Here is an 11,800-nt window from a genome sequence, read left to right on the forward strand (position 1 = left end):
TTATTTTGAATGAAGTCTGGTTTTCAGATTTTTGTACCCAACTATATATTTCTGTACTAGGAGGTGGGCACCACAGATTCAACATGTACACCAGCCTGATCCTCTTCAGTGTTCCTAGTCTAGTTAATGATACCTTTCCTGAGTTGATTCTGCCATAAACTTAGGGATAATTCTTAATCTCTCCTTTATCCCTCTTTGTCCAACCTTTCAACAGGTCATGTCATATCTACTCCATAATATGTCCTGATTCTATCCGCTTGTCACTTGCACTGTTGGCCTGTCTTACCCACATCATTATCCTCTCCTTCTTAGACAACTATAATATAATAATAACCTTCTAACTGGTCATCTTGCATTCACTTCTGCTTTTACCTGAGTCTCCACATAACAATGTATTTTTAAAATATGTAGTTTTAAAAGACAGATCTCATCCTATTCTACTCCTTAAAACAGTTGAGTGGCTATTACTCTTACCATAATGCCCAAATACTTTTTTGTAGCCTACATCATCTTAAATAATCTGACATCTTCTGTAGGTTTATCTCTATTCTTTCTACTCCAGCCACATTTGCTCCTTCGTGCCCCAGGAGCTGTGTACAAGCAATCACCTCTGCTTGAAATCTTCCTTTACACACCTCTCTTCACCCTGCTAATTTTTATTCTTCAGTTCCCACATAAATTTCACTTTTTCAGGGAAGTTTTATTTTCTCATATGAGGTTAAGTTACTTTTAAAAAGCTTTTTGTACTTTTTTTTTTAAGGACTTAATCACAGTTGTACTTTCTTACATGACACTCTTTATCATCTGTCTCTCCCATTAAACTGTAAACTCTTTGATAGCAATGACTGTCTTACTCACCTTAACATCTAACCAGGGGTCTGGCTCCTAGTAAAAGCATGCAGTGAATATTTTTTGAATGAACTGAATGATTGAATACCTTTCAACAAACTAGAACAATGTCAAATAGTAAAACTAACTTGTTTTTTGTAGCATTTCATTTAGATAGAAGAAATTCACCACCAAATAGTTTGACACCGTGTCTAAAGATTCGGAATATGTTTGATCCCGTTATGTAAGTATTATGATCAGGGGTACATGTAACTCTTATTCTGAATATTTGGCTGGAAAATGCATGATATTCTTATAATGGTGTGTCTGTAATTGAAAATGTTTTTCTTCTGAATCTCTACCACAGAAATGTTATGTTTTTCTCTTTCATTAAATTCCAAGCAAAGATTTGGCCAAAGGACACTAATGTATAAAGATTTGTAAAACTTTTATAAATCTTTGTATTCCTTATGAATCGTCATAGCAGATAGATAAATGCTTGAGGCAAATTAATGACTCACAATGACAAAGAGTACCCTTTATTAAATGTGTAAGTCATTATACATGACTGTCAATATTTTTGCCTCAGTAGAAAATATAGATACAATCACTGCTGCTTACAAATTTCAAATCTCAAATTGTAAAAAGTTTCCTACAAAGATGTATATACCTGCTTCTCTACAAAGTCCTGTCTCCACTTGTCAATATAATATTTGAAGAACTTTTCAGACTTTATAATTCCAACAACATATGCTTCCAGAGAATAGCACAGTCAAAAGTGACTGCCTTAGAATTCACAGTATTTCATATATAAGCTGTAATAGTTCTTAGAATTAGCTTCCTGAGGGCACTGCTTATCTATCCAGTGATAGTACAGATCAAATTCTGTTTGTTTTAAAAGTCCCAACAGTGGCAATTACAATATGTATACAATACCCCCAAAGTCTCATCTAATCACTCATTGATGAAATTCCAAATAAGTGACAGCAAAATTGGAAATGTGAGGAAGCAGTATGCACACGTGTTTGCACGTGGGCACGCGCACACACACACACACACACCCCCCCCACACACACAGAGACAAACACCGCCTCTATTTTGCAGAGATAGAAACAATTAGTAGTGTGATGATACCTCTGTTGGGAATCTTACCTCATGCCTTAGGAATTGGCAAGTCCACTATTTTATTACCTAAGATGAAAATTTGTGATTTGAAGTGAAGTCACTTTCCTCTCTCTCCTGCCATCTTTGTCTCACAAGCAAGACAAATGTCCCTTACTACAGCAGAAACACCTTAAAACTGTCATTATAGTAAGGTGACTGTACAAAATGTTAGTCCTGTATCAATTATTTTGGAAAAGAGAAGCTCAAATGTAGTATTTACTAAGAATTTTCTTTAGGAATTTGAACCTATCATTACAATTAAAGAAAATAACATTCGGCTGGGCACAGTGGCTCACACCTATAATCCCAGTGCTTTGGGAAGCCGAGGTGGGTGGATCACTTGAACTCAGGAGTTCGAGACCAGCCTGGGCAATGTGGCAAAACCCCGTCTCTACAAAAAATACAAAAGAAATTAGCCAGAATTGGTGGTGTGTGCCTGTAGTCCCAGCTATCTGGGAGGCTGAGGTGGGAGAATGGTTTGAGCCTGGGAGGCACATATTGCAGTGAGCCGAGATCACGCCACTGCACTCCAGCCTGGGTGACAAAGCGAGACCCTGTCTCAAATAACTAACATTTAACTTTTACAACTTTAATAAGTTCACAACTCATTTAAAGTACTTATTAACAATAGAAAGAAAACAGAAATTACTGTAAGTACACAGGATTTTTAAACATAGGAATGACCCAATCCATTTATTCTGCAGCGGTGGGCTAGTCTTTCATTGCCTCAGCTCTCTGCACTCTTTTTTTTTTTTTTTTGAGACGGAGTCTCACTCTGTTGCCCAGGGTTGAGTGCAGTGGCGTGATCTCGGCTCACTGCAAGCTCTGCCTCCCAGGTTCACGCCATTCTCCTGCCTCAGCCTCCCGAGTAGCTGGGACTACAGACACCTGCCACCACGCCTGGCTAATTTTTTTTTTTTTTTGTATTTTTAGTAGAGACGGGGTTTCACCGTGTTAGTCAGGATGGTCTCGATCTCCTGACCTCATGATCCGCCTGCCTCGGCCTCTCAAAGTGCTGGGATTACAGGCATGAGCCACCGCGCCTGGCCAGCGCTCTGCACTCTTTTACTGGAAAGTGGGAGGAGGGCTGAGACTTCTGAATTGTAATTTTTAAATCTACCTCCTGTTAGTCAACAAGCATTTACTTAATACCAATTAAAATCGTATGTGGTTTTAAAACTATACCAATTCTAGTAATATATATATGTTGTAAGAGACAGTGAAGAATTTTTACCGAGTAGGAATATGGTTGTTGATTTTTGTTTTCATTAACTTTTAGGGAAATAGGGGATCAGTGGCATTTGGCAATTCAAGAAGCAATTTTAGAAAAATGCAGTGATAATGATGGCATTGTTCACATTGCAGTAGACAAAAATTCACGTGAGGTAAAGTAACTTTTGGTATTGAATTTCATGTTTTGGATTTGTTGCTATTAAACTAAGACTATTTTCTTTCTTTTTTAATATCACAGGGTTGTGTATATGTTAAATGTCTGTCTCCAGAATATGCTGGAAAGGCTTTTAAAGCATTGCATGGCTCTTGGTTTGATGGTAAGAAATTTGAGTACTACAAACATTTTGAAAAGATAGTTATAGTTTAATTTTAAACTATACCAGATTTCAAATAAAAGAATTTAGGTTAGCATTTTTTTGAGTAATAATTTTAGATGACTTTATTTATGTTTTGTGCTCATATGTCTTTTACCACAGTTAATTTTCTGCAAATATTAAACAGTTTTACTGATCTAAAATATTATTTTTATCTTACAACAGGGAAATTGGTTACAGTAAAATATTTACGACTAGATAGATACCACCATCGCTTTCCCCAGGCTCTCACTTCCAACACTCCATTGAAGCCATCAAATAAACATATGAACTCCATGTCTCATCTTCGTCTTCGGACTGGCCTAACCAATTCTCAAGGAAGTTCCTGAAAAGATTTTCTTCCATTTCTAAGACTGTTATTTACAATAGGAAAATTCCTGTTTGGCTTTTTGTCTTCCTTTTTAAATGCTTTTTGTATGTAATATTTTTATTGATGAATACATCTCTGAACGTTCCAGAAGTCTTAAGGTTCCAAAGGGATTTAGCAGTGAGGCAGCAATGCTGAGTAGGTAGGATAATTATTTCATTCAGTTTTTGGAGCTCAGTTAAGCCAATACATTTAAAGTTTTGCATGAGGAACACTGACTTTATTAAGCATTTTCAGATGTGGTGGTTGTATTTTTGCCCCAAGAAGTGTTTGGATAACCACACAAAAGCATGATGAAAAGGCTTCTTGTAGTCCCATAATTTCTTGTGAACTAATGTTGTGAATTTTTGTATACAGTCACCTGCATAGTTCCTACAGGCTAATGTGGTAAAACTGTTGATTTCCCAATTTAACCTTAGGTTTCTGTTGCTTATAAGCGATTCATTTGCTACGGCTGGAATATGGGAAAATTAATTTGGGCTTAGTGGTTACAAATATGTGTAAGTGGATGTATATGTACTTAAACTGGCTTTGTATATATGTATAAATGCTGGTGGTGGTGAAAGTAGTCTTGTTTTATGAGGATGTCTGCATTAAAGCAGTAAAATAAGCTTTCCATTTTATTCATAATCTAATGTGTGTGTATATATGTATGTGTGTATGTGTGTGTATATATAGATGTATATATATACACACACAGAGATATATACATATGGCTGTACTTTTGCATAGATCAAACAGCCAAACACCTGGAAGTATTAGATACAAGTTTAAAATATCTTTTATAGGTTTTATATAAAAATGTCTGAGTATGATTTTGTGTGAAAGTTCTGATACCAGTTGTAATAGAGTCAAATTTATGTGAGCAATAAAGAAGAAATTGGCAGATATTGGAAAAATATTTTGTGAAAAGCTGTATTTATTATAAATACTAGGGCCATGACATAGTACCATTGGGGTTAAGTCATTTTCCCAATCTATTTATAATTTAATGATATGTTAGTGCCTCTGTTATATGTCAAGTTTAAAGCAGGGCACATTGTTGCAGCAAAATGTGTATTTGACAAATTATACTTGCAATTTTGGGTCATGAAAGTTTGCAATATAGTAAATGCACGATTGACTGTTGCTTTGTGCCTCAGTATTTAATTTGTTTCAGTAAACTTACTTTATTACTGTTTATGATTTCAGATAAAAATAGTTGCTGAGTAAATTTTACTTGTAATCTACAATTGGCTTTTTAAAAATAACCTGTTGATATATAATTGTCAGTCCAAATGAATATGTGAAACAGCTGGAATTGTACAAATTTTGGTTGTATTTAAAGCTCAGTTTCCTTTTTGTTTTATTGTATGCGTTGGGTTTGCAGCATGAACTTGCACAGATAATGCACGTTTTCTGGTTAAGTAAACATGATGCACACTATTCTGTAACAGAAAGCCCTATTGTGCCTTACCTGTGTGCTTTTGTGGGCACCTTGTTTATGAAGAATAAAAAATGATTTGTTATCTGAAGAGAATAAATTTTAAATTCTCAGTTTATGTCTCAGATGCTAACGTGTGAAAATATAAATATATATAATATATAAAGTAACCAGTCTTCCTGTATTTTATGTGCATCATAGTGATTTATCTGAGCTTAGTGACCCCCATCTTGTAACCTGTTGCAAGAGTGAATGTAAAAAATAGTTGTGGCATTTTAAAAGGTCGCCTTTGATGCAGATGCATCTTTTTCTTGCTTCTAAAACATATTTCATGTAAACATTGTACATTTATTATTGTAATATATACTATTATGCAGCTTATTTTACCTGAAACTGTTAAGCCGACCAAGATCCCTCCCTGCAAGACAGATGGGAATGTGTATAATAACTAGGTATTTGAGAAGTTCTGAAGTTTGATGTAATCTGTTACTTGTCCTGTTAAAAAAAGGAAAAAATTCTAATTAAAAATTTATTAGTTTTTTTTTATGTGTCTTGGCTTTTTAAAAACATTTTAAGTGCCCTGTGTCTGTATTTATTTTTTTACCAGTGAAAATAGGTGTCTTTAGTTTAAATGTTTGACAGCCTGAATATTTGTGCTTATAAAGATGAATGAAGACCATAAAGTTAATTTTAACTATCCTTCCCCTCAGCATTTTATTTTTCCTTATGAAAATGTCTTCATCCAACTTTCAAGTATTTGAACCAAAATGGGGCAAGAATGTCAATCAGCTACATCACAAAGCATTAGTTCTGCTAGATACTTTTTCACAGCAAGACTTTCTTAAAAAGGAAGCATTTCTTTTTCTTTTAACATTCTGACTTGAATTCTATTGCATTATAAACTATTAACAGTTCATAGGCTAGTTACTTTACATAGCATTGGTTTAGACTTTTTGATATGTTAAGTAAAAAGAAGACTAGTCAGTCATGTGGTACACTTATTGATTACTAACAAATGCCAAGTACTGTTATGTGTTAGGGATACAAAGATGAAAAACACATGACCGAATCCTCAAGATGGTCACAGTCTAGAGGAAGAACACAGAGCAGATAAAAGATAATGTGGAAAGTACAGTGAGAGCAAAACAGGCAGAGGAACTCTGGGAGTAAAGAAAGGCACCTTATGCATCTTAATATAGAGAGAAGACCTCAGGGCAGGTGAGGCAACAGCTGAGCCCTATTTTAATTCAGTTGAACACTTACTACCTCTTAATTAGTATAGATACAATGATAAAATTTCCCTTTCCCTTGAGCTCTCAGGAGAGCTTCTATTACTGTGATGAGCTCATGAAAATGAATGTGTGTGATCTGTGTAATTACAAAATGAATACTCATTGGTATGTAGATTCATGAATATCTTGTGAATATTGAAGGCTGATGTTGGGTTTTGTTATATTTTCCTTGTATTCACAGTTTGAATGGCAAGTTACGATTTCCAAGTGAACTGTGGTTTGATGTGTCATGTGCCCAGAACATTTCCCTTAATAAGATTTACCTTGCAGTTCTTCCTCCCTGCTCCTGTTGACATCACATTATTGTAAGTCCCCTACATGGCTTTTTTGCCTTTTTTTTTTTTTTCCTAGACTTACCTTGTCAAGTCACTTTTTCCAGATGACTCACACAGGGTGCTAAATCAATCAGAATTTTGGCAATCACTCTTTTAGGAAGGATGCTGAAGAACAGATACTTAAGAACTGAGATGATTAGGAACCAGAGGTTGTGCTGAATGTCCAGAATGCTCTTGACCTTTAAGAATAAACTGAGTGTCCAGAATGCTCTTGACCTTTAAATCCCATTGGTTAAACGTTATGGCTAGAAATGCATTCTCATGGTGGTTTTCTATGCCTGAGAACCTCTACTAGGGGCAACAAGATATATGCATTTTATTGATTCTTAGAGTTTAAAACCAGTAGAGCCTGTGTAACTCAGATTTACTTTTTCTTTCATGCGTAGACATTGGAGACCTGAGAATGCTCCTGAAACTGGAAAGAGGGCAATATAGGTATAGAGAGCACATGAACAAAGATTGATGAGAAACAACCCAGTTTATGCATAAACTAAAAGCAGAACTGGGTGTGGTGGCTCACGCGTGTAATCCCAACTAGTTTAGTTAAGAGGCTGAGATGGGAGGATCGCTTGAGGCCTGGAGTTTAAGACCAGCCTTGGGCAACATTTAGACCCATCTCTAAATGAGAAAAAGAGGTAGCTGGGCGAGGTGGCACACACTTGTCCCCATCTACTTGGGAGGCTGAGGTGGGAGGATTGCTTGAGCCCACAAGTTCAATGCTGCAGTAAGCTATGATCATGCCACTGAGCTCCAGCTTGAGTGACAGAATGAGACTCCATATCTAAATAAAAAATCAGTTGGCCAACATGGCGAAACCCCGTCTCTACTAAAAATACAAAAAAAATTAGCCAGGCATGGTGGCATGCACCTGTAGCCCCAGCTACTCAGGAGGTTCAGGCATGAGAATTGCTTGAATGTGGGAGGTGGAGGTTGCAGTGGGCCAAGATTGCACTACTTCACTCCAGCCTTGGTGAGCAAGACTCTGTCTCGAAACAAAAAAACAACAAACCATAAGCAGTTTCTTATGACTGAATAAGGACATCAATAGATAAGAAAGGTAGGCAATGGTCACATCTTTGTAGGTCACATGAAGATTGGATGTTGGCTATTAAAGGGAGTTTAGGTGAGAAATGGATGATAAGGATTTGTTGGCATGAAAAATAGAGAAAAGATTTGAAGAATAAGATAAAATGGGAAAGATTTGATTAATTATTGACAGAGAAACTGATATCTAATTATTTAGCATGGGAAATCTAAAATCCCAACATTTGGGGAATAGATGGTAAGGAACAGATTGGATAGGAAAAATGATAAATTGGGGTTTTGGCTATGTTAAGTTTGACATGCCTACAAAACATTTAGGTGGATGTTTCTAGCAAGTGAAGGGGGATCTACATTTCTGAGATATTTTGAGAACTGTCTGAGGGAGGTACAATTTGGGAGTTAGAACCATGACTGTGGGTTAGATGACCCAGAGAGTCCAAATGGTTAATCCCATTTCTGCCTTACTTACCTGTGTGGCCCTTAGATGGGGATTGAGGATGGGGTGAAGTAGAAAGGAAAATTTGAACTAAATTAAGAAGGTAGAATTTGAGAAGGTCTTTGAATGAAGTGAAGTTAAAGTGTAATCTAATATGACTATCACATTTCTGGTTTGGGTAGCTGGTTGGCTGGTGATGACATTCCCCAAATTATAGATTACAATTGTTCCATGGTATCTGCAGGGGATTGGTTCCAGGACCCCTATGGACACTAAAATCCACAGATGCTCAAATCCCATATATATAAAATGGCATAGTATTTGCATTGCATACAGTCTACTCATACCCTTCCATATACTGTAAATCATCTCTAGATTATTTTTATTACCTAATACCATGTTATTGCCATCTAAATAGTTGTTATACTGTGTTTTTATTATTTTAAATTTTTTTTGAATATTTTCTATCTGCAGTTTGTTTAATCCACAGATTTAGAGCTTGTGGATACACAGGGCTGACTGCACTAGAGGAGGGGAGCAAGAAGCCAGTTACGGTGCTAGATAAGATGTCCTATAATTGACAAAATAAAGCAAAATAATCTTTCTGTCTTCTCTTTGTCTATTGCAGAACATTGTTGGAGGAAGGGCAAGAGGGGGCTGTCTTTGAGGATCTCTCCTCTCCACAAAACAGAATTAACTTATAAAATGTTCTGCCATTGTCTGTGATTCTTTGATATTGATTAGAAATTCTCCTAGTTTGTAGAAAACTGAGATTTTGTATAGATCTAGAAACCTGCGGCTGTCAAAAGAAGGAATACATGCTAAAGTTGACTTTTGTCAACTTTTGAACTCTTCTTAAATGGTTTGTTTTACACTCAAAACTAGAAACTTGTTTTAGGCTTTATGTTAGACAGCCTGTGTAACTGTAGTCAAGTCATTTGGCCTGAAAGGCTTTTTCTTTTTCTTTTCCTTTTTTTTTTTTTTTTTTTTTTGGTGACTTCATTTTGTTGAAGTGATTTAAAAATACAACTTTTAAAGGGCAGTCCTATTTTTGTAGTTCCAAATGTTGCAATACTTTTTACAAAAACAAACAAAAAAGTTACTAATGTGGAATTTTAAAATTTCAGTGACTATTTTCTACTAAATAATAGTGAAATTCAAGTTGGATTTCAAGGCCTGCCTTTATCTAGACAGGTGCTGTTTCAGAGAAATATGTCAGTTGTGTAATTAATAGTTAGAATTCTAATGGCCACACTAAAAAAAGTATAAAATGGGTAAAATTATTTTTTGGATGTTTAACCTTACATATTCAGATTATCTGAACCTGTCATAAAAATGTTATTTTACATACTTCAAAATCTGGAGTATATATTATAGCTAAGGTGACCCTGGGATATATGACTTAAGTGCTAAAAGCTATACAGTGGGCACCTTATTTACAGCCTATCTTAATCAGATTTGACATTTTAATTGGAAATACTTGATCTATATTGAGATATAAAACCTACAGTTGAAACAGTAGATTCACATACCCAAGTTCTTCCCAAATACTTAAAAGTTTTAAAATTTAAATTCAAATTTAAATTAATTAGAATTAATCAAAACTTCAGTCCTTCAGTTGTACTACCCACATGTAGCCAATAGCCACATATAGACAGTGGCTACCATGAGTACAAGTCTAAACCAACCTGTACCTTTCTAGCCAAATCCCAGTCCTCACCCATCTACCTGTGCTCCAGCTGAACTGAACTGCTTGCCTGTCTTCTATATACCTAACTTTTACTTGATTCTGCTTTTACTGATAACTCTCCTATTATGCCTCCTTCACTTAACCTTCTCCAGCCACACTGGTCGTCTATTTCTCCTGTATACTTCCTACCTATAGGGCCTACACACTTGCTGATCTCTGCCTGTAACATTATTTCCCTGGGACCAGATCTTTGAATGACCTGCTTCTCCTTATTCAGGTTTCAGCTCACATCTCTTCACAGAGATCTTCTCTGGCCTTTCTCTTTTAAATTGCTGTTTTATTTTCTTATTAATATCTGAAAGTATCTTACATATTTATTGCCTATATCCCTTGCTACAATATCAATCCCCATAAGAATAGGGAGTCTTATTTTTGTGTTGTTTACTTGATTTTTAGGTCCCCAAATAGTGTCTGGCTTAAATTAGGTGCTCAGTATATATTTTTTGAATCAACCCATACACTTTATTCTGTTACTCTGCATCTAAAATTAAATTTGTGTTTTGATTCTAGGGAGTTCAATATAACTTTCAGGGACCGAATTTCTTCTTAAGTAGTGCTTTAGCAGAATCCCACAGATTTTAATGTGTTGTATTTTCATTTGCATTCAGTCCAGAATACATTCTAATTTCCCTTTTGAGTTCTTCTTTGCCCCCTGAGTTATTTAGGAATGTGTTATTTAGTTTCCTGATACTTGAGGATTTTCCAGGTAACTTTACTTACACTTTTGATTTCTAATTTTATTCCTTTAGCATCCATTGAATGATTTGAATCCTTTTAAGGTTGAGACTTACTTTATGGTCCACAACACAAACTTTCCGTAAAAATTCTATGTGTACTTGAAAAGAGTGTTTTCTGCTGTTATTTGGTGGGCTGTTTTATAAATGTAAACTTGATGAAGTTGTTTGATAGTATTATTCAAGTCTTCTGTATTCTTACTAATTTTCCATCTACCTGGTAATTATTGAGAAGGGTTATTGAAATCTCTAACTATAATTGGGGATTTGCCTATCTCTTGCAGTTCTGACAGGTTTTGCTTCATGTATTTTAAAGCTCTGTTATTACATATATAAATAATTAGGGTTATTATATTCTCTGTGTTTTGACTCCTTTATTATCATGGAAGTGATCTTTATCCCTGATAATATTCTTTGCTCTGAAATCTACTTTGATATTAAGATAGCCACTCTAGCTTTCTTTTGATAAGTGATAGAAGGGTACATCTTTTTTTCATTTATTTTTAACTTATTCATATCTTCATATTTAAACTATGTTTCTTGTAGGCAGTATTTAATTAGATCTTTTTAAAAGATCTGGTCTGATCACTCAATCTCTACCTTTTAATTGGGGTATATACGACATTTACATTTAACATTTAATGTGATTATTCATTTGGTTAAGTTTAAGTCTCATTTTGCTGTTTATTTTTTATTTGTCTCATCTGTTGTTTCCTTTTCCTTTTTTCCTGACTCTTTTGGACCAAGTATTTTTATGGTTTCATCTTATCTCCTTTGTGGCTCTTTGTTTTGATTTTAATGGTTTCATTAGGGTTTATAA

The 11,800-nt window shown here is 35.2% G+C and overlaps 1 protein-coding gene across 2 annotated transcripts in view, besides 1 other annotated feature; it reads left to right on the plus strand.

Annotated features, from left to right (window-relative positions):
• The window catches only part of LEMD3 (LEM domain containing 3), a 78,773-nt gene extending 72,815 nt beyond the window's left edge, over positions 1–5,958 (plus strand). For both annotated transcript variants that reach the window (NM_014319.5, NM_001167614.2), the window contains exons 10-13: positions 991–1,072; positions 3,272–3,377; positions 3,464–3,542; positions 3,765–5,958. In NM_014319.5, the coding sequence (NP_055134.2) occupies positions 991–1,072; positions 3,272–3,377; positions 3,464–3,542; positions 3,765–3,928 (431 nt within the window). In that variant the 3' untranslated portion in view covers positions 3,929–5,958. The remainder of the gene's footprint in view (positions 1–990; positions 1,073–3,271; positions 3,378–3,463; positions 3,543–3,764) is intronic.
• Positions 6,979–7,179: a silencer, noted in NCBI's record as "peak1765 fragment used in MPRA reporter construct". NCBI's record gives its function as "represses an SCP1 promoter by STARR-seq MPRAs in K562 erythroleukemia cells {active_cell/tissue: K562}" and the evidence as "EXISTENCE:reporter gene assay evidence [ECO:0000049][PMID:32103011]".

Source organism: Homo sapiens, chromosome 12 (genome assembly GCF_000001405.40).
Source record: "Homo sapiens chromosome 12, GRCh38.p14 Primary Assembly".
Lineage (NCBI taxonomy): Eukaryota > Metazoa > Chordata > Mammalia > Primates > Hominidae > Homo > Homo sapiens.